General features: G+C 41.0%; 1 protein-coding gene across 57 annotated transcripts in view, besides 1 other annotated feature; it reads right to left on the bottom strand.

Moving 5' to 3' along the window:
• Positions 1-23,821, bottom strand: part of ST3GAL3 (ST3 beta-galactoside alpha-2,3-sialyltransferase 3) — a 223,624-nt gene that overhangs the window by 131,314 nt on the left and 68,489 nt on the right. For 41 of the 57 annotated variants that reach the window (NR_073021.3, NR_073018.3, NR_146867.2 and 38 more), the window contains exon 3: positions 7,697-7,744. The exons of the other annotated variants lie outside the window; for them this stretch is intronic. Coding sequence is in view for 29 of the 41 variants with exons in the window: in XM_047428200.1 (XP_047284156.1) it covers positions 7,697-7,744 (48 nt within the window). In the remaining 12 variants the exon portion in view is untranslated. The remainder of the gene's footprint in view (positions 1-7,696; positions 7,745-23,821) is intronic. 57 annotated transcript variants of the gene reach the window in all.
• Positions 14,487-14,536: a silencer, noted in NCBI's record as "silent region_791". NCBI's record gives its function as "represses an Ori minimal core promoter by ATAC-STARR-seq in GM12878 lymphoblastoid cells {active_cell/tissue: GM12878}" and the evidence as "EXISTENCE:reporter gene assay evidence [ECO:0000049][PMID:35858748]".

Here is a 23,821-nt window from a genome sequence, read left to right as displayed (position 1 = left end):
GGAGGATTAGGAGGGACAGCATGTCAAAACAGCTGCTGGTACAGGAAATGGGAAAAAATGGCTCACTCTGCAGTTTGTATCTTAAACTTCATGGAGCTTACCACCTCATGGGATAGATAGGGCATAAATACTCACTGAAATGGTCTGAATGTTGGGTGTCCCCTGTGAATTCATGTGCTGGAACCTGATATCCAATGTGATAGTATTAAGAGGTAGGGCCTTTAGAAGGTAATTAGGTCATGAGGGCTCCACCCCTAGGATGGGATTGATATTTTTATCAGGGAGGGCTGAGGGAGCCTATTTGCCTCTTCTGTCTTGTTAGGACACACACAGAAGGTTCCATCTATGAGGAATGGACCCTTTCCAAACACTGAATCTGCTGATGTCTTGATCTTGGACTTCCCAGCCTTCAGAACTGTGAGCAATAAATTTCTGTTGTTTATAAATTACCCAGTCTAAGGTATTTTTGTTATAGCAGCCCAAAGAGACTACGACAATCACAAAGCAATTATTAAACAAAATAAGAGAGAGCTCTACTCCCCAAACAAAAATAACTTAATTTTTTCCCAGTTATTAAAATAACATATGCTCAATACAAAAATCCAAATCCAAAACACTTATAAAGAATGAAGTAAGAACCATTTGAAACCCCTATTTACCTAGGGCTAACTGCTACAAATATTTTGGTGACTATTTTCCCAGAAATCTCTTTCCATAAATACTGTATATGTATGAACGTACATACATAATTTTACCTACACTTGGCCTTAATATGCATGCTGTTTGTTTGTTTTGTTCACTCAACAATATCCTCGACATCGTCTGTGTCAATAAAAGTAAAACTGCATCATCATTTTAAATGACTGCAGTTACTCCAATGAATGGATATGCCATTATTTATTTGACCTCAAGCACTCCTTAATTAGTGAATATTGTTGTTCCTAATTTTCTATTCTTTAACACCTATTTATTTAACACCTACTTAGCACCTATTATGTGCCAGACGCATTCTAAATACCGGCGATACAGTGATGAACAAAACAGACCAAGTCCTTGGCCAAAATGAAGCCTACATTTTAGTAGGGGAGATTGACAGTGTGCAAGTAAATAAGCAAATAGTTTGAAGGAAGGAGGCATGCTAAGAAAAACTGAAGACATACTTTTTTAGAGAAGGACTGGTTAGAGGAGTGGACTACTTTAGATGAAGTGGTCTGGGAAGACCTTCTGGCGGAGGTGACAGTGGGACAGAGGCCTGAAGACAGCAACGCAAAGCAGGAGGTAAGAACAGTCTAGGAAGTGGGAACAGCAAGCACAAAGACCCTGAGGCAGGAAAGGACCTGACATCCTCAAGGAGCCACAGGCATGCCAATGTAGCGTGAGGGCAGTGGGCTGAAGGCAAATGAACTACAGGGAAATTGGAGAGGTTAAGTAGGACTCAGGAAGGAGGGACAAGTTTGGATTTTATTGTAAATGTACTGTAAGGTCACTGGAGAGGCTTCAGTGGTAACAAGACAGGATCCGATTTAGGTTTCTGGAAGATTACTCTGGCTACAAGGTACAGAAGGCAATAAGTGGCACAGACAGGCCAGTCAGGAGATGTTTCTAGTCTAGGGAAGAGAAGATGGTACCTTGGGCAGTGGTGCTAGAAAGAAGCGGCTAGAGAAGAACACATTGTGAAGACAGGAAAGGGGGAGAGGGTAAAGGAAGAGGAACAATCAGGGTGATTCTAGGTTTGCAGCCTGAACTTTCAGTTGGGTAGATGGGGAAGAAAAAGTGGGAGAGGAACTAGTTTCAGCATACAGCTCCTATATATGTTTCATCAGATTTATATATAAGCATTTACACATAAGTATTTGGTTTCGGGAAGCTGCTATGTGTTTTAAATTTTGGTTTTCAACTGCTCATTGCTAGTACTTAAAAACATGATGAACTTCTGTGTTTTGACCTCGTATCCTGTCATCTTGCTAAACTCAGTTATTAGTTCTAGGAATGTTTTTGTAGATTCCTTGGGATTTCCTATGTAGGCAATCATGTCATCTATGAAAACGGTTAATTTTGTTTCTTCCTTTCCATTCTGTATCCTTTTTATTGCTTTATTACATTGACTAGACCTTCCAGAAGTATTTCCTGATGTTAGGGGGAGAGCAGTCTTTTACCATAAAGTATGATGTTTGCTGTAGGTTTTTGTAGATGGCCGATGTCAGGATGAAGAAGTTCCTTTCTATGTTTGCTGAGCGTTTTTATCATAAATAGATGTTGAATTCTGTCAAATGCGTTTTCTTCATCAATTAATAAGACCATGCAGTTTTTTTTCTTTAGACAGTTAATACGGTGGATTATATTGATTTTTTCATTGTTGAACCAGCCTTCCATTCCCAGGATAAACCACACTTGGTCACCAAATTTGGGACGTTTTAGCCATTGTTTCTTCAAAAATTTCATATGGAACTCTGAAGACACGAATGATAAATCTTCTAGTATTGTGCCACAAGTCACTAGGCTCTGTTCAACTTTTAAAAGATTTTCTCTGTTGTTCCAATTGGATAGTTTTATTGCTTTATTTGGTTCTTCTTTATATTTTCTTCCTCTTTTTTTGTTTGCTAAGACCTTCATTTAAAAAAATCTTTAATATTTTTAAATTTTTTTAGAGATAGGGTCTCACTGTCACCTAGGCTGGAGTGCAGAGTGCACCTAGGCTGGTGTGATCATAGCTAACTGCAGCCTTGAATTCCTGGGCTCAAGTGATCCTCCTGCCTCAGCCTCCCAAGTAGCTGAGACTACAGGTGTGTGCCACCATGCCTGGCTAATATTCTTCTTTAATTTTGTAGAGAAGAGTTCTCTGCAATGTTGCCCAGGCTGGTTTCAAACTCCTAGTCTCAAGTGATCCTTCTGCCTCAGCCTCCCAAAGTGTTGGGATTACAGGCATGGGCCACTGCACCTAACCTTTACTTTTTTTGCAAAGATTTTCTAGTTTTCTATTCATTTCAACAGACTTTGCCTTTACTTTGGGGAGCATTTTTATCATAGCTGTTTAAAAAGTCTTTATTAGATTATTCAAACATCTGTGTCACCTCAGCACTGGCATTGGTTGATTAACTTTTCCCATGCAAGTTCAAATTTTCCTGGTTCTTCATTTTGGTTCATATCTGGGATATTCTGAATCTTATTATGAGACTCTACATCTTGTTTAAATCCAGTGGAGAATGTTCATATTTTTGTTTTAGCAGACAATCGACCAGGTTGGGTTCGGGCAGCAAATTCCAACTAGCCTTCTGTGGGTTGTGGTTTCAACATCAGTTCCATTTTCAAAGCCTGTTCAGAAGAGTCCTCTGTGTGTGCATCCAGTCTGGGACTTGGGCAGTGGTCTGTCCCTTAGGTCAGTTCTGAAAGTCTTTGGTATGTTGTTTAGAATCAGATGCATACCTGCACAGCTTGGGTTATCCTGAAGTCCATAAATAACTTAAAGCGGTTGCTTTCCTGAGCTCCCTTTCCCTTTGCTTTCTCTTTCCTGCCTTCTGGTTTCTTGTGACTCCCCTTCCTGGGCCTCTGGCCAGAAAGCTGGGGCTTTAATTACCACATTCTGCCATGAATTTTCTGAACTGCACTCAAATCTGGGGCCAAGCAGCAGGAAGACAAAGACAGAAAACAAGCAACCAAAATTGCACCCCATCCTCTTGGGACTATAGCTCCTCTGATCAGAGAGGAAAGTTCCTCTCTCTCAGTTTTAGGTGCTTGAAGGGCCTACTGCTGGCACTCTCCCAACCACCATCACTGTGGGATTGCCTGGGGGCTGGGGCATGAGGGAACAACTCTTGGGATATTCCCCTCTGTCTGAGCCTTGGGAGCCCTTTTCCCACCCCAGAGCTTTAACTAGAGGTCTTTTCCTGAAGCTGTTTGTGCCTTGGTGTCCATTGCTGGGGTTTGGGGTGCCTTGAGTCCAAGACATGGGACACTGAAGGGAAAATAGGAAACTCACTGCCAGTTCAGTAATACATTGAATTCTGGTATTCTTCCCCTATCTGTCTGCTACTATTTATGTTTCAGAGTCCTCAAACTGCTATTAAATGCATTCTGAACAGGCCTTTAGCTGCATTCAGAGATAGAGTGAGTGTGCTCACTCTGTCTTATCTGGAACTGGAACCTTTTTCTTACTTTTAAGTACCTACACTAACAGAAAGAAAGTCAAATAGGGATTAATTCCAAAGTTATCCTGCTAAAGTTCTAAAACGTTTTTGGCGATGTGGTATGCCCAGCGCTTTGTAAATTCTCTCCAAATAAAACAGTAAAGTGGCCACTGTGAAGACCTCTACCCAGCTCTTGCCTGGTTACCATTCCCTTTTAGGCTTGATGCAAAGCAGGAGATAGCAAAACTATTGGCCTCTTGCAAATATTCCATGAGAGCATGAATAAGGCAGAACTAGGTGTCGAAGCTGGTAGGTGTTGTCGGGAAAACTGAAGGCTAGGTAAACTGAAAACCAGTTATAATTTGAGGCTGACTCTGAATCAACTTGATCTATCTTCCACTAAGAGGGAATCAGTGGAAAAATGTCTGAATTCTCATTCTTTGCCAGCCTTCACTGAGAACCTTGTACAAACCTGGGAGGCTTATTGCCATGGTCCATAGTTATTTGCAGATTAAGCCCAAGATCTTTTTATAACTCCAAGGGAGATGGAGGCTGAGGACCAAAATCCCCTTGAACATTATTAGCTGTACATTGAGGTTTTATGTACTTTTCTATATATTTGCTATATTTTACATTTTTAATACAAAGCACAGCTAGTGAGTTACTGTAAAATGGACACCTATAAAACCCCTTCAGGTCACTAAAAATAATATATCAACACACTAGAAGCCCCCCTGTACCCATCCCTCAACATACCCCCTTGAACACCACCATCTAGCTATTATAGAATTCAATTCCTTGCTTTTCTTTATAGTTTTAATACTGAATTATGTATCTAAAAGCAAATATGGTTTAATTTCATTTGTTTTTGAACTTTTTATGAAAGGATAAACACAGTATGTACTGTTTTGTCTGACTTCTTTCACCCAACAATATGTCTTTAATATTTATCCATATTGTTGCATCTGGCTATGGTTTGCTCATTTTTACTGTTCCCTATGAATATAATACAATTTGCATAGTCATTCTACTGTTGTTAGGTATTTGGATTGTTTTTGGTTTTTGACAATTATGAACAATGTTCTTATAAACATTCTTATACACATATCTTGCATATATATGTCCTGTTATGTATAAGCATCCATTTCTGCAGATAATATACCTAGAGGAGGAATTGCTAAGTCACCAGGTATGTGTATATCCAAATTTAGCTAGATACTGCCACAGTTTATTCCACAGTGGTTGTACCAAATTATGCTCCAACAAGTAGAAAATCAGAGTTTCCACTGCACCACATCCTTATCAACATTGGAATTGTCAAGCTTTTCAAGTTTTGCCATTTGGTAGATGTGTATTGATATCTCATTGGGATTCTAATTTGCATTTTGCTGAGTACTAATACAATCAAACACCTTTTCTTGGGTTTATTGGCCATTTGGACTTTCTCTTTTGTGAAATGCCTGTTCAAGTCTTGCTCATTTCTGTAATGAGTTGCTCCTTTATTCCTATTGACTTCTGTCGTTCTTTGTTCTGGAAACAAGCCTTTTGTTGATTATTTGTGTTGTAAAGATATTTTTTTCACTCTGGATTTCCTTTCACTCTCTCTCTTTTTTCCTTCTTTTTTTTTTTTTTTTTCCAGAGACAGGGTCTCACTGTGTCACCCAGGTTGGAGTGCAGTGGTGCAATCATAGCTCATTGCAGCCTCTAACTCCTGGGCTCAAGTGATCCTCCTGCTTAGCATCCTGAGTACCTCAGACTACAGGCACACGCCACCGTGCCCTTACTATTTTAAAAAAATTTTTGTAGAGTTGGGGTCTCACTGTGTTACCCAAGCTGGTCACAAATTCCTGGCCTCAAGCTGTCCTCCTGTCTCAGCCTCCCAAAGTGCTGAGATTATAGGTGTGAGCCACTATGCCCATCCAGCCTGCCTTTTCACTCTCTTAATAGGGTCTTTTGATTAATAGAAGTTCTCAACTTTTATGTAATAAAATGACCAATCTTTTACTATACAAATAGATGCAAGTTTTGGATCCATTTAAGAACTCTTTCTGTCTGTCCACTCTACCTTAAAGTGACTTCTCATAGCCTCAGCATTTTGGTGGGAAGCACACAAGGTATGAGATAGAAAGATGCTAAGGGAGAGAGGATGGGCTCTAGAGTTAGACAGATATGAATGGCCCTGAACAGGTTACTTCATGTCTTTGAGCATTAGCTTCTTTATCTATAATTAAAGATATCAAAGCTGTTGTAAGGAGATCTAGTATTTGATAGCACAGCAGAGTGATTATAGTCAACAAAAATTTATTGTGTATTTTGAAATAATTAAAAGAGTGTAATTGAAATGTCTGTAACACAAATAAACCGTAAATGCTTCAGATAATGGATACCCCATTTGCCCTGATGTGATTATTACTCATTGTATGCCTGTATCAAAACATCTCATGTACCCTATAAATATATACACCCACTATGTACCCATAAACATTAAAAATAAAAAAAATAAAAATAAAAAGCGATTGTAAGAGATAGCTGAGAGGTGTATCAAGCACTCAGCACAGTGCTGGCACACAGTAAAACAGGCAGACCCTCAGTAAATAGTGGTGGCTGTGATCATATTCTCTGAATGTCTTTCCTCTTGTCCACTCTACTACAACTGCCTGACCCTCATGGCTGTTTTGTGAATCATCAATCTACCATATCTAAGGACGGCAAAATGAATTAACTGCCCTCAACAGGCCAGCAGTCTCCCTGGCATTCACTGGCAGTACCCATGGTATGAGGCCCACCTGACTTTACCTAAAAACACAGAGATACTCTTCCCTCAAAGTCACGTCATTCTGAGGCTCCCATAGGGACCCAATGGCAGCAAGCTGAGGAATCAAAGTAGTCTCTTCCCACTTCCTGTCAACAGGCACAGTGATGTGGAACAGGTAAACTGCCCTAGACATGGCAGAGCCAGGCTCCACTGGGTCTGGGTGAATTTGGGGCAGGTGTGCTGATCTGTGTGTCCTGCACTGTAAACAGGGAAGAGAAGGAGTGTGTCCACCTACATGCATTTTGGCATGAGTACACAGTACAGTGTGGTACTCCTCTCCTGGAAGAGGTCTGTATTTGAATATATGGGGTGTGCATGTAAACATGCAATGGAGTGTATGTCCTCAGGAAACTGGGATGCTCCCACCAGCCCAGCATTCTAGTAGAGAGCCCTGATGGTTATCTGCTCCAGCATTCCCACAGCCTGGGGTCTTTCAATGCCCTCTGCCCCACCTTCTGAGACAGGATATATGCACAGAAAACAGACATCCTTTTATGTGACTCTTGACAACTCTGAATGAAGAGGGAGCATCTACTGTAACTCCTCTGTGCACTTTTAAAGTAACTGGAAAAGTTCTCTGGATATGTCCCTCTTCTGCTTCCCTGACCATAAAGTCTCTAGAAAGGCTTCTTGAGACTTCCCCCAATTCTGGGATATTCCACTGCCCTCCCCAGCAAACCCATACTTGATTAGGCTTCACAAAAAATATGGCTAATATTGAAGGCCAAAAAGATGATAGAGGGGGAAGAGTTGGTACCTGAGCCTAGTGTTTGTCCAGCGGAGTCAAAGGAAAGAACCACTGAATCTGCAACACAAGAGGACAAGTTCATTTCTTTCTCCTTCTTATAATAAAAAAGCAAGCTCCCACTGGCTCTGCCCAAACCCTCCCTCAAAGCAGAGTCAACTGGAAGGGAACTCAGTCGAACAGCCCAGCCTCCCAGGCCCATGCCCACCCATCCACTGAGCCAGGAGACCCTGCCCAGCCCAGTACCCCTTGCCTCCTGCCAGAGGGAGAGACGTCTCAAGGCAGGGACAGGCCCCAAATTCTTTAGAGGCATTTCTTGCCAGATTAGGGGACAAATTTACTTCTTTTTCTTTCTTCTAGTGAAAATGGAATTAAAACAAAGCAAAATAAAAGTTCCTTCCTGAATCTAGTTAAAGGCACTAACATTTCCCCTTTGATCTTGCCCTTTCTTCTACTTATATACTCAATTGTTCATTGTTTCTTCCCCAAAAAAGGCTTATAGTGGCCTATTGAAATTTACAATGTACACTAGAATTTTAAAATGAAGATGTCAAAGAAAGGAAAAAGACTATATAGTTGGGGAAATGTTAGTGCACAAAATGCATGCCATGAGTACCTACGCAAACACCGCAGGCAGAATCAGGGCCTGAGCCTTCAAACAGCCAAAGAAAAAAGGAAATGAATGGTTACAAGATTCAGTACCCACAAGGCATTCATTCATTCATTCATTCATTCATTCAATCAAATGTCCAATAAATATGCACTGGGCAACTGCTATGTGCAAGATACTATACTATGACTGAGATACAGCAGCAAACAGAAAAAGCATGGTCTCTATCCTTATTGATCTTTCTGCTATCAGTCTAGGAGAAAAAAATGTTACCAAAGAACAAACTATTTAACTAGAAACTGATAAAAGAGAAAAAAAGAAAGTGTTATTAAAGTTTATATTAGGAACTGGACTGAGTACAGAAGGGGAGTGGGTACTGGATAGGGAAGACATCTCTGAAGAAGTGACGCTTGAACTCATAGCTGAAGGATAAGTGAGGGTCAAACCCAACAAGAATGGAATAGGACATTCAAAGCAGAGGGAAGGCCATGTGTGAAGACCTGAGGCAAAATGGAGTCTGGTGCTCCAGAGCAACTGAAATACCAAAACATAAAAGCAAATACTGTACAGTGATCAGAGAGAACTTTCTCTTGTGGGCCTTAGAAAAAGAGATGCCGGCCGGGTGCAGTGGCTCATGCCTGTAATCCCAGCACTTTGGGAGGCTGAGGTGGGTGGATCACGAGGTCAAGAGATCGAGACCATCCTGGTCAACATGGTGAAACACAGTCTCTACTAAAAATACAAAAAAAAAAAATTAGCTGGGCGTGGTACGCGTGCCTGTAGTCCTGGCTACTTGGGAGGCTGAGGCAGGAGAAGCACTTGAACCTGGGAGGCGGAGGTTGCAGTGAGCCGACATCATGCCACTGGACTCCAGCCTGGTGACAGAGCAAGACTCCATGTCAAAAAAAAAAAAAAAAAGGAGACGCCATATGATGTTGAAGATTGTATATTCTACATTTCTATACTAAGCAGCTGTAAATCTTGTATGGCTGTTTCCTACAACATAAGCCAATGCCAAATGATGGCATAAATTAAACATAGAGTTCAATAAAAGCAATTATAAGGGGCACCAAGATGATGTAAGGCCCAAGATAACCCAAGAAACCCCAGACTCAAAAGGGATCAGATTCCACAGACTTACTCCAAAGGAGTGTCAGCCGGATGCAAATGGCACCAGAGTCTAGAGCCACACCCCACCCAAACATTATGGGCATTTTCTCTCATTGCACATGGACATTCAACACAATAGTTATCATAACTGTACATAACATCTGTTCCCACTGCTAGGTTGTAAGTTTCATAAAGGCAGACACCAAATCTGCTTTATTCACTGCTACACCTGGCACTCAATATTTGCTGAATAACAATGTACAGAAAAATGAATGAATCACAAATCTTCAGACACTCTTTCATCGATATTTTTTTCTCACAACCATGTGTTTGCTAAGAACTGGGTGGCAGAGAGCTGGAGGATGTGGTTTCTGAGGCAGGTACTCTGTACTGCCAGTTAAAGATAGATCCATATGCTTTGAAATCTGCCAAGAAAAAGGTAGGGTTGCCACTTTTTTACAAAATGTAGAATCACAATCAGGACACTTGGCTGAACAGATAGGTGACCACCCTATCTCATACAATCAATGTCTAACTCTTATAAATTCTACTTTTTTTTTTTTTAATAGAGCCAGAGTCTTGCCCTGTCCCCTGGGCTGGAGTGCAGTGGTGCAATTGTGGCTCACTGCAGCCTCTAATTCCTGGGCTCAAGTGATCCACTCACATCAGCCTCCTCAACAGCTAGGACTACAGGTGCATGTGCCAGCCTGCCTGGCTAACTTTTCAATTTTTTTTAGAGATGAGCATCTTGCCATATTGCCCAGGCTGCTTTCAAATTCCTGGCCTCAAGTGATCCTCCTGCTTTGACCTCCCAAAATGTTGGGATTACAGGCACGAGCCATCATGCCTGGCCAATTCTACTTCTTTATCAGCATTTCTCACATTTATCTCCTCTCATTGAGAAGACTGACTCCTCCAACCCCTGCTTTTAAAAACAGCTTTATTGAGGTATAATTCACGTACCATGAAATTCACTCATATAAGTGTGCAATTCAATGATTTTTAGAAAATTAACAGAGCTCCATAACCATCATCACAATCCAATTTAGAACATTCTCATCACTCCAGAAAGATCCCTCATGTCCATTCAGTCATTCCCTGCCCCAACCTCCAACCCCAGGAACCACCAAGTTACTTTCTGTCTATAGATTTGCTTTTCTGGACATGTGCCTATCATCTTTTGCTGGGACTGCTCTTATTGCCCCCAAAACACACCTCTGCCTCCAACATAGCCCATTTCCATCCATCCTTTCTACTGATTTCTCCAAAAAGCATAACAGATTGTGTCTCTGTTCTTTAATAAAACCCTTCAGAGGCTTCCTGTGGCCTGTAAGATAAAGTTCAAGCTCTGACATTCAATGTCTTTACCATTTGCCTCATTTACCACCTTGAGTTCCAGATATGCAAAATTACTTATATTTCCCAAGAGATGCATGCCTTCATGTCTTCAGACGTTGAACACATTGTCTTCTCTGCAGGTTTGCATTAAAAAAAAAAAAAACCTCCCACTCTTCCATTAAGACCAACTCAATTGACCCCTTCTTCTTGAAGACCTCTCTGATCAATTCTGCTCACTTACTTCTTTAGGCCATCACTGTGCTTCTATTATGGCATTCATTATACTGCACTATAATCCTTGTTTGCTTTTCTTCTTCTTTCATTAAACTGAAAGTTCCCTGAAGACAAAGACTGTCTATTCATTTTGAGGCTCTGATGCCTAACTAATGACTGATACATACAAAGTGGTCAATATGTTTATTCAACTAAGAAATAAGCTAGTAAATATTCTTGCTTTCTTTCAAAGGTGATGTTATCTGAGTGATATTTTACAAGTTGGAGGTAAAATCCATTCTGGGTATTGACTCCCATCAGTTCCAATCAGTCCTGAAGTGTGCTTGTCCTGTGAAGGTTCAGGGGTCCAAACCTGGCCTCACCCTAGGAAAATGAGTGCTCACACAAAGAGTCTCCGCAGAGGAGGAATAAGAAAAGCATCCTAAGAGTTTTCCAGGCGAGAGATCACATTCCCCTGAAGAAGATTGGGAATGGAATTCTGAGGAGCTGACTGCCCGGATGAGCAACAATAAAAACAAGCACTTCAAATTTTTATTGCAGTTGACAAGTATTTTTCCAATTGCAATTTATCTTCTTTGTACTCACAAGCAGTCCTGATATAAAGTCTCTTTTAAACTTTTCAAATGACATGTACAGAAAAAAGGCTAAAAGTTAACTAAAAGACTAAAACTAATTAAGACTAAAAGAGACTAAAAACATGGTTGTCTCTGGGTGGCAGAATTATAGTAATGCTTATTCTCTGCATTTTTGTAAAATTTGTACAGTAAACATGTATTACTTGCATTGTTTGAGGGGACAAAAAGTTCAAAACAGAACTTCTGAATCCCGCTCTAGGATTTTAACCTCCAACTCACTGGTACCAATGCCAAAGGATGGCAGGTTCTTGAATGCCTTCATTATTCACTGTACATGCTGAAACGCTGTTGAGCTTTTCTCTTTAATTACTGAGGTCATCCTTATAGTTCATGATACTTAAATATACCCCAACAATATCAGTCTAAATGGACTGGGCTTTCCTCGCCCTTCTTTACTTCTCCCTCCTTCTCACAAATATTATCAAGTGGCTATTACACGCCAGGCCCCATGGAGCCAAATTAGAGATAGCCTTCGCCTTCAAGCCAAGGAAGACAGACCACTTCATAAGCACTTAAGATAAAAATAAAGTGATAAGGGTAAGCATCAAACAGGTGACAGTCTACTGGAAAGAGTCAAAGTCTTTGCAAATATTATTTCCAATGGTAGCGGAATGCTCTTACGATCACACATTTTTAAACTTCAGAAGAGGCAAGTGAGAGGGCAGAAATTTTCAGAGGAAGTTGGTGACATATTCATGTTTTGTGTAAGTTTTTAAATGAAATCTGCTGTGAGCATTAAAGGTTTGATGAATTTTGTTTTGATGAATTTTGCTTTGACTTCAGAAACAGTTTGGCCATTCATTATTTGTGATTTATTCTAAAGGACGTAAGATTATTTTAGTTATAAACCACTTTGACAGCTAACGGGAAAACTTAGTATTCAACAAATTGAGAAGTTTGCTTTGCAAGGAACAGAGCAAGAATATCCAGACTTCTCCCTCTCAGGCTAGCAAATATGTCATTTTTACTTCAGTCATCCCAGGCTCCAGCTGTTCCTGGCTCCCAGGCCAGAGGCAGCCATGTGGCCTGCCATACAAGTGACCAAACTGAATTCCAGACCAAAGTACAGCACAGCCTTGCTGCACATGACTTTGTTCAATGAGGAAACCTAGAATTTACTGGCAATCTTTTATTATAGTCAGATGTTTCCTGTGTCTGGTTTCCGAAGTGGAATAAAAGGAATCTAAAGGGAGTATGAAGAAGAATAGGGCTCAGTCTTTCTGCCATTGGACAAGTTTCCAGAGCACAAATTATGCAGCAAATGAGCTACCTTTTGGGGTATACTTATCTTCAGCCAATTACCATGTGTAAGCCTGAGAGACGTAAAAATGAACTAAAAGAAAATTGTTCCCTCAAGTAGCTCACAACCTAACAGGTAAAATAAAAATACATATAAAGCTAAACACAAGACACAGCCGTGGGAAAAACAGTAACAAGGGAGATTTCACTGTTTATCAGTTTAACAGATGTTTACTGAGAAACTACGACACACTAGGCTTGAAAATACAGTGGTGAGTAAGAACAAAAATGTTCTTATTCTCAAGGAATTTTTGTTTTAGTCAGGGAGATACAAAACAACCAAACAAATGAAATGAACAAAATACTGAACAGTGATAAGCAGTACGAAGAATATTAAAGCATGTAACGGAGACCAAGGGTAGAGGTACAGGCAGTGTTAGACAGGGTGTTTCAGGAAGGCTTCTCTGAGGAGGTGGCACCCAGGCTGAGACCTGGAGACAGAAGCAAGCTAAGAAAAGATCAAGAGAAAGAGTTCCAGGCGGAAGGAAAAGCAAGCGCAGCAGCCCTGCTACATCTAAAGAAGAAGTCAGAAGGTCAGTGTTGCTGGCGCACAGAGCACAGAAAGCAGGAGGTGGGAAAACGAGGTCAGAGAGGAAGACAGGAGCCGCATCTGCAGGAGGGTGTACAGGCCGCAGAAAGATGTCTGTGTTCTATTTCATTAGCAATGAGAAGCCCTGCTTAAAACCCCGGGAGTAACAGAGTCGGATTTATATTTTTAAATATAAACTTGGGCCATTATGTGGGAACTAAATTGATTATTCTGGCAACTGAGTAAAAGGTAGATTAGGGGAGAGAGACTGAAGACAGGGAGATCAATAAGGAGGAGACTCATGCAACCCTCTGGGTGAGAACTGATGGTGGCCTGAACCGGGTCGATGGCAATGGGAATAGAGAAAAAAGGAGAAATGCCAAAAAAAAATGCTTAAAAGGGAAAACTTCAGGATGTAGTGACTGATGGGACATGAGTGAGACAGGAAGGGAAGAGAATGATATCTAGCTTGGGCTTGGGCAAATGGATGCTGACTGTTGCTTGATGGAAAGTAGGCTGCATCCTAACCACATGACCCTTCCTCCCCTCTGGCCACTGACAACTGGCCCATGGGCTCAAGGGAAGGTAATCCATAGACTCCTCATCCACCTAGAGGCAGATAGGGTCTCTCTTTTGGGAATTTAAATTGGGAAGTACAGACAGTTGGGGGATTGGTAGGAGACACAAGCAGACAAAGAAGTGTAGAGACTTGGATGCTGTAGGCTGCGCTAGATGCTGGGCCCTAGCGCCCACATTAGTGGCAGAGCATCAGAGCCAAGAGTCACAACCCTGCTGTTGAGGGCAGCAAGACAACTTTAGATTCAAAATGTTCTCCCTGTTCCAGTCTCTGTGAAAACCAGCTATCCCATGGATCATCTTTCCATGAGGCCTTGAGGTTTGGTTTTTCTTCAGTTCCCAGAAGGCCTTGCCTATAGTTAATACTCTTCATGTCTCTTGCTACATTGAAGCTGTCTGCAGTCTGAGCGGCCTCACCTCACCTTCCAGCACCATCCAGGCCTCTACCTTCTGGATGGCTGTGTGAGGTGAACCTGCCACCAGGCTGGATCTGAGCAACACATGTCTCCTCCACAGGGTCTGAAGCTCAGAAGCAGAGGCTCCACTTGGACCACAGCTCTCAACTTTCTTCTCCAATCTAGCTTTATGAAAGAGCCCTTAACTTGGGAGGTTTAGCAGTCTGTTAACAGAACTGATACCTCAATGTTCACGTCGCCACCTGTTTCTTGTTTTTTAGTCTCTCAACTGTTTAGATCCTGGAGGGATCTAACCCCCCCAGTCTTAGTCCCTCAATTTCTTCCCTCCCAACCCCAATCCCAAACAAAACCTGAGTAAATGAGATTCCTGCGGACAAACAGAGAAAAGAAAAGTCTGAGGAGAAAAAACATCATCATTAATTTAGGAGGATGTGATAATATGGACAAGAAAACAGTGAAATAATCAGAGACAGGAGTAGCAGGACAGAGAAAGCCAAAGGAGGTGAGAATTGATCACAAGGAGTATCCCAATGTGGCAAAGAGGCAGAAGAAGCTGATGGCTGAAAAGATAGCACAGAATTATTCACTGGGGAGCATCTGTAACTTCAGTGGAAACAATTTCTGTACAACAATTTGATGGCAAAGACTCAACTGTGAATGGAAGCTGTTGATGCAGTATACTTATGTCAAGAAGTTTCTCCTTAACTTTCATTAATTTAACTTACCAAACATATACAGAGTTCTTACTAAGCTCGAGAGACTGTATGAAAAGATCAGACATGGTATCTGACATCAAAGAGCTTTTGAACCATCAGAGAGATAATAGAGAGATTCAAATAACGATATTACAAGTCTCTAGAGAAGTTGCTATGGGAGTTTATTTTTACTTACTTATTTATTTATTTTGAGACAGAGTCTCGCTCTGTCACCCAGGCTGGAGTACAGTGGTGCGATCTCGGCTCACTGCAACCTCTGCCTCCCAGGTTCAAGCGATTCTCCTGCCTTAGCCTCCCAAGTAGCTGGGACTACAGGCATGTGCCACCACACTCGGCCAATTTTTGTATTTTTAGTACAGACGGGGTTTCACCATGTTGGCCAGGCTGGTCTCGAACTCCTGACCTCAAATGATCCACCCACCTCGGCCTCCCAAAGTGCTGGGATTACAGGCACGAGCCACCACGCCTGGCCTGTCGTTTAGATGCAAGGAGAATTTTTGGCTGGGAGAAACTGGGAAGATATGGAGGAGATAGTACTTAAGCTGGTATGAGATGACCTTATAGGACAGGCTGTACTGGTAGTGTGGGAACAGCTATGGAAAGGCACTGAAGCATGGAAAGTGAGGGGTGTGTGGTTTCAGGAAGGTAAAATCATACCTAACTAATTTAGTAGGGTTTCTTTCAGGAGGTAAAAATGCATGTGACTGAAAGGGAACCAGTCCATACAATCTATTTAGACCTTCATAAAAAGGCTTTGACACATCAAAGACTATTTTTAAAAAGTGAGTCACCATGAAATTGAGGAAGAAACTGCTATGTCATGCCAGGAGACAAAAGGTACCTGGGTGCAGATCAGGGGCAGGACATCCCCTAGGGCAACAGCGTTCACAGGGACATCAGGAAGTCTGGGAGTAGCTGGAATTCTACCAGCTGCTGCCCTCTAAGACTGCGGGGGGTGGGGGCAGTGTAAGGGTGGCACTGCTTACAAACCCCTGTGTGTACGACTCAAGCAGGTGGAATGAATATGGAACTAGGCATGTGCTGCTGAAACTGAGAGTAAGATGGTATATAAGGTTTGGAGCTCAGGGGATGGGAAAAGTTTTAGTACAGCTGCTCTAGAAACAGGAAAGGAAGCTGATAAAGGAAATGGAAAAGGCAATATTGCCAAGTACTGAATAGGGCACAGTCTGAAACTGGGAGATGAGTGTGATTCACCTTTCTATCGAGTCTCAAATGAAAGACAGCCCAATCAGAGACAAGATGGGCAGACTTGGTCAGAGCTTGGTATCAGTGGGACATTTTCAGGAGGACAAGGGGGTAAAGGCATGGAGGCTGCTACTGAAAGGAGCCAGCCTGGGTGAATAGGAATGGAAGGGAAGTCAGCCAGGGCTGAGCACTGGGAGAACAGGGAGGGCAGAAAGCCAGCAACCCAGAAGAGGTCGAGGGCAGGGACCTGCAGGTGGCATGGACCTGTGCAGCACAGCAGACAAGGCATGCGTTTGAACCAGGCCACCATGGTGCTAATCCGGGCTCCACTGTTTTTCCCACTATGTAACTTTGGGCAACCTACTTAAATCTTGCTGAGCCTTAATTTCCTCATCTGTAAAAAGAGTAACACAAAGTTCAAAATTTATCTGAGCCCCCTCAAACTAGATAGTATTAGAATCCCAAAGTGTTCAGATTTTAGGAAAGCAGCATACTGCACAAACCATATATTATTTAACATCCCCCTATGAGGTTTGGGGCAGCATCCTGTAATTAAATATTAATATTTCTTCTATGAAATGAATTTTTATGCTAAAAGGGACTATAAATACATTCATACCATTTCAGGTCAGATTTTACTGCCAAACGAATTTTGACACTGATCTTTTGAAAAAAAAATGTTTAAAGATGTTTCAAGTTCATATTTGCCATACTGGTGGACCATTAATAGAACCCACCTCATAAGGCCATGTCATGAGGATTAGATGTCCAAATTAACATAAAGCACTGAACACAGTGCCTGGCATGTAGTTAAGTCCTCAATACATGCTGCTGTTAGTGTTTTTATCATCAGCATCATCACCGTTGATGACAGTGTGGCTGAAGTAAAAGAGGGACTGATAAGTGGAGAGGAATATAGAGAGGGAGAAACAGTGAAAATAAGGCAGAAAAGCAGACCAGATGGGGTTTTGAATACCAAGTTAGGAGTCTGGATTTTATTGAGTAAAAGTAGACAGAGTAGAGAAAGACACTATATATTTTTCAGAAAATTAATGATATCAACAGATTTTTGCTTCAGGAAAACCATTCTAGCGGCAGTGTGTAAGACAGAGCGTAAGGAGGCTAAGACCTAGCAGGAGAGCTTTGTGGTAAGCCAGGTGACAGACAATGAGGGTCTCACGTGAGGCTGTTGGGGGCCGGATGAAATTCAAAGGGAGAATGGACAGGATTGGGAAACTGATCGGATGTGGGATGGTGAGGACTAAGAGAAAATACTACCACAGAATACAAGGGAGTAGAAATATTCCAGAAATAGATGGGAAGCAATAATGTTAAATGTAGCAAAAGAAAGGAGAAGATAAGGTGTGGAAAGCATTCTTTGGGTTTGCCAATTAGGATGCTACTGGCGATTTCAGAAAGAGCAGGTTCAGTTAACTCCGTGAGAATGGAAGCCACACGTTATCAAATGTCATAGAGCAGCCAGTAAAATACAGACTGAAAAAATAGGGAGCTGAATTCAGTAACAAGGAGGTTTTCAATGACCTTTCAAATTCATTGCAGTTTGACTTAATGAAGTATTATGGGTAACTGGCAAACCGCAGTGGTTTGGTATAGGGATGGGAGAGTAAGAAGTAGATTGCCCAATAGATTTATTTTCTCTATGAAATGGGAGGTGATCATTGCATGTGGAAATTGGGAGGGAAGGAACTAGCCTTCCAGTTTGAAATAGGAGATTTCAGTTGGGGGTTGAAAAACTTTCTCTGTAGGTGGACAGTAAATATTTTAGGCGTTGTAGGCCACAGTCTCTGTCACATATCCTTCTGTTTTTTTGTTTTGTTTTGCTTAGCAACCCTTTAAACATGTAAAAATCTTTTTTTTTTTTTTGAGACAGTCTTGCTCTGCCACCCAGGCTGGAGTGCAGTGTCGTGATGTCAGCTCACTGCAACCTCTGCCTCCTGGGTTCAAGTGATTCTAATGCCTCAGCCTCCCAAGTAGCTGGGATTAGAGGTGTGTGCCACCATGCCTGGCTAATTTTTTGTGTTTTTAGTAGAGTGGGGGTTTCACCATGTTGCCCAGGCTGGTTTCAAATTCCTGGACTCAAATGATCCGCTGCCTCCCAAAGTCTCCTAAAATGCCGGGATTACAGGCATGAGCCACTGTGCCTGGCCTAAAAATATAAAAATCATTTTTAAGTCAGGTCACACAAAAACAAGCTGTGGGCTAGATCTGGCATAGGAACCACAGTTTGCTGACCTGATTTAGATTACTCCCATTCAAATCTCCCCAAGTGACAGAAACGACTGCATGTTCATTGTAAAGCAGAAGCACCCAGGACAAAGACAGAAGAGACACAAAACTGGAAACCAAGTAGACAAGTGGAAGTCAGCAAACTCAAGAAAGCTGAATCCTGTGCTGGTAGTGGGAAAAGTTGAACTGAACGTGAAATACATCACAGAACTCCCCAAAGACTCAATCACTGGCAGCATCAGGTACCACTAGAAGAGGGAATGAAGATGATACTAAAAACAAGATTCCCGGTTTCTAAATATGAGCAGACAGCCAAGATTGTTTGAGGCATTAGAGGAAAGTATTTGCTATAACGACAGGAGACCAAAACAAATGAAACCTAAATGCAACATGGAAAAACTGAAGAGACTCAGGGGGATGAAAACTCAGGAAAAAAAAAATCATTAAACTCCTCAGAGAGAAGAAATGTTATTCGTGAAACAGGTGGAGGATATCATAAAAAATATATTTGGTGAGGTGAACAAAAAGAAAAAAGTAACCCTGGAAAATGAAACACATAACAGCAGAAATAAAAAGGACCTGGAAAAGGGATTGGAAAAGTTAAGGAAATTTCTCACAATATAGAACAAAAAGATAGAGATGGAAAATGATTAAAATATTTTTAAAAGATTAAAGGACAAGTCCAGAAAACATGCCTTCTGAATATGGGAGTTCTAGAAAGAAAGAATACAGGAAAAAATGAAAAGGAGAAAATGCTGAAAAGAATAACTCAATAAAGTTGTCCCAGAACTAAAGGTTTTGAGTTTTTTTGAGCTTAAAAGGGCCCTCTGAGTGTCCAGCACAGTATGAAAACAGCCCTCCATCAAGGTATATTATCATGAAATTTCAAATTTCCAGAGAGAACAACTACAAACAGGTTTTATATAAATAATTAAAAATCAGAATAGCATTAAGACTCCTCAAGAGGAACACCAAAAGCCTAGAATACAATGGGGGCAGTATCTTCAAAATACTGAGGGAAAATGGTTTCCAACCTAGAATTCTATACGCAGCAAGACTATCAATTAAGTGTGAAATCAGAATAAAGACATTTTCAGGTATGTTCTCAAAAAATTACCTCTCATGTATCCTTTCTCAGGAAATCAGTACAAGATGTGTTCCATTAAATGAAGAAGTAAAAAAATATGGGGCCCAGGAAATGAGATATACCACAAGAGGATGGTGACAGGGACTTCAAGACCACAGATGTGCAGCTACACAGAGAGCAAACCATCCAAAGAGAGCATGTCAGAGGCTCCCAAAGAGAGTTCTTCAAGAAAATGAAGCTGATAGACAATCTAACATGTCTGAACATATGGAGAAAGATTTATACAACTGGGGAAGAGTTTAGGGTTGAATTAGTGACAAATACATAGAAAACTAAGGAAAGCAAAAAGCAAGACTTTTACTGACTTCAGGAAAAACAAAACATACAATGAAAAACCAGTAATCATGGTATCTATGAATAGTGTTTCTATGGTCATAGTATATAGACTGAATATTGCTCTAACCGTATTAGAAGAATTGGAGGATAGATTGCATGGCTGTGGTAGAGGAGTGGTGAGTGTGACAGAGTATTAAATATTCATCTTCCATTGAAGAAAGTCAGTAGGTAATACTCAAAACAGAAAAATCAAGAACTGGCAACATACACTTGTTATTAGAGATTCAGAGGTTAAAAAACCAAACAAGTTACCTAAAAGAGTTAAAAATGAATGCCTCTTGGAGGTAGGAAGTCAACTAGTGGTGATAATGAGGAAGTGCTTTTTTTGTTGTTGGGAACAAGCCCTGTAAACTATGCACATGTATAACTTCAATACGAACAAACACTAAAGTAACTTGCACAAGATTACACAGCCTATAAGGATAGGACTGGGGCTTCAAATCTAGTTGATCTGGTTCCTTAATTATTACAGCATATCATATACCTACCAATAGGGCCAATGAAGAGTCTGTTAGAAATCTAGCTGGGCGCAGTGGCTCACACCTGTAATCCCAGCACTTTGGGAGGCTGAGGCGGGTGGATCACCTGAGGTCAGGAGTTTGAGACTAGCCTGGCAAACATGGCAAAACCCAATCTCTACCAAATATACAAAAATTAGCTGGGCCTGCTGGCAGGTGCCTGTAATCCCATCTACTCGGGAGGTTGAGGAAGGAGAATCACTTGAACTGGGAGGTGGAGGTTGCAGTGAGCCGAGATCACGCCATTGCACTCCAGCCTGGATGACAAGAGCAAAACTCTGTCTGAAAAAAAAAGAATGGCCGGGCGCAGTGGCTCACGCCTGTAATCCCAGCGCTTTGGGAGGACGAGGCGGGTGGATCACGAGGTTAGGAGGTCGAGACCATCCTGGCTAACATGGTGAAACCCTGCCTCTACTAAAAATACAAAAAAAATTAGCCGGGCGTTGTGGCGGGTGCCTGTAGTCCCAGCTACTCGGGAGGCTGAGGCAGGAGAATGGCGTGAACCCGGGAGGCGGAGCTTGCAGTGAGCCGAGATCGTGCCACTGCACTCCAGCCTGGGCGACAGAGCGAGACTCCGTCTCAAAAAAAAAAAAAAAAAAAGAAAAAAAGAAAAGAAATCTGGATGCCTCACATTTGATCATATCCTATTGAATATCTTACTAAATACTCATATTATTTTGTAATTGTTTTCTTTGTCTAAATATGATTGAAAAGAATTAATCTAGAATGAAAGATAAGTTTAAAAAAACCCCAAATGTGTGGACCTTGTTTGGACCCAGATCCAAAGTGCTATGAAAAGGCTTTTTATTTTTCCCATCAGCTTTTAAGTTCTGGGGTACATCTGCAGGTTGTGCAGGTTTGTTAAAGAGGTAAATGTGTGCCATGGTGACTTGCTGCACAGATCAACCCATCACCTAGGTATTAAGCCCAGCATCCATTAGCTATTCTTCCTGATGCTCTCCTTCCCCGCACCAGGCCCCAGTATGTGTTGTTCTCACCATGTGTCCATGTGTTCTCATGGTTCAGCTCCCACTTGTAAATGAGAACATACGGTTTTTGGTTTTCTGTTCCTGTATCAGCTTTCTGAGGATAATGGCTTCCAGCTCCAACCATGTCCCTGCAGAGGACATGATCTCATTCCTTTTTATGGCTGCATAGTATTCCATGGTGTATATGTACCACATTTTCTTTATCCAGTCTATCATTGATTGGCATCTGGGTTGATTCTATGTCTTTGCTCTTGTGAACAGTGTTGCAGTGAACGTATGAGTGCATGTATCTCTATAATAGAATGATTTATATTTTTTGAGTATATACCTAGTAATGGGATTGCTGGGTCAAATGGTATTTCTGCTTCTAGATCTTTAAGGAATTGCCACACTGTCTTCCACAATGGTTGAACTAATTTCTCCCATTCTGTAGTTTATCTATTCACTCTGATGATAGTTTATTTTGTTGTGCAAAAATTCTTTAGTTTAATTAGATCCCATTTGTCAATTTTTGCTTTTGTTGCAATTGCTTTTGGCATTTTCATCCCGAAATCTTTTCCTGTGCCTATGTCCTGAATGGTATTGCCTAGATTTTCTTCTAGCATTTTTATAGTTTTGGGTTTTGCATTTAAGTCTTTAATCCGTCTTGAGTTAATTTTTGTATAATGTGTAAGGAAGGGGTCCAGTTTCAATTTTCTGCATATGGCTAGCCAGTTCTCCCAGCATCATTCCCCATTGCTTGTTTTGTCAGGTTTGTAGAAGATCAGATGGTTGTAGGTGTGTGGTCTTATTTCTGAGTTCTTTATTGTGTTCCATTGGTCTATGTGTCTGTTTTTGTACCAGTACCAAGCTGTTTTGGTTACCGTAGCCTTGAAGTATAGTTTGAAGTTGGGTAGTATGATGCCTCCAGCTTTGTTCTTTTTGCTTAGGATTGTCTTGGCTATATGAGCTCAAAAAGGCATTTTTAATAATTGGGGTTATCTGAATATGGATTGTGTATTGGAAGACACTAAGGAATTATTGTTAATGTGAGGTAATAACACATTGGCTTTTTTAAAAAAGATCGTATGACTTAGAGATGTGTAATTAAGTATTCATGGGTAAAATGACATGATGTCTGGGATTTGCTTTAAAAACCCAAATAATAAAAAAGATATGAATCTCTCTGATAGCAGGACCTATATAATATACATGTGCCAGAGACCCTTAGACATGATGAGACTCTGAAGTCATTAGCCATATGACATTCCTCCTTTCACCTGGGAAAAAGATGAACTTGATAGGCTGTCCTTAAAAGAGCATGGTACCATACCATTCTCAAGAGATTACTTAGTTAAGCCAGAGAAGGGGCAAAAATGAAAGGTGCTCAACAAAGTCTTTATACTTTCTCATGAGAAATTTTGTACGCCTAGCAATTTATAATATTTCCATTAAAAAAGAGAGGACACATAGCTTTCAGCGCCCCAACTGAGAAATGTGAAGTTGTAATGGGTTGTCATCACTGTTGATCATTATAAGTATTAAGAATGGAGGGCACAGGGAGGAAGGGAACCCTCACACACTGCTGGTGGGAATGTAAAATGATGTAGCAGCTTTGGAAAGCAGTCTGGCAGTTCCTCAGTAAGTTAAGTATAGAGTTACCATGTGACTCAGCAATTCCACTGCCAGTACCCAAGAGAAATGAAAACAGTATGTCTACACAAAAACTTGTACACAAATGTTCAGTATTATTGATAATAAGAGTTTAAAGTGAAAGTAACCTAAATATCATCCATATTTATCCATTCATCAACTGATGAATGGATAAATAAAATGTGGTGTTATCCTATAATGGAATATTATTTGGCCATAATAAGAAATGAGATAAATGTTATAATATGGGCAAACCTTGAAACATTATCCTAAGTGCAAAAACCCATATAGCCAGTCACAAAAGACTACATATTATATGGTTCTATTTATATGGAATGTCCAGGACATGCAAATCTACGGTGACAGAAAGCAGATCAGTGGTTGCCCTAGGGATACGGGTGACTGAGGGAAAATGGGCCCTGACGGCAAATGGCTGCAGGATTTCTTTTTGGGGTAATGAAAATGTTTAAAATGAATTGTGGTGATGTTTGTAATTGTGGTGCTGTTAGCACGGCTCTGTGGATATACTAAAAACCACTGAATTTTGAACTTTAAGTAAGTAAATTGTATGGTGTGTAAATTATATTTCAAGAAAACTA

This window comes from Homo sapiens, chromosome 1 (genome assembly GCF_000001405.40).
Source record: "Homo sapiens chromosome 1, GRCh38.p14 Primary Assembly".
Lineage (NCBI taxonomy): Eukaryota > Metazoa > Chordata > Mammalia > Primates > Hominidae > Homo > Homo sapiens.
This window is presented reverse-complemented; position numbering and strand designations above follow the sequence as displayed.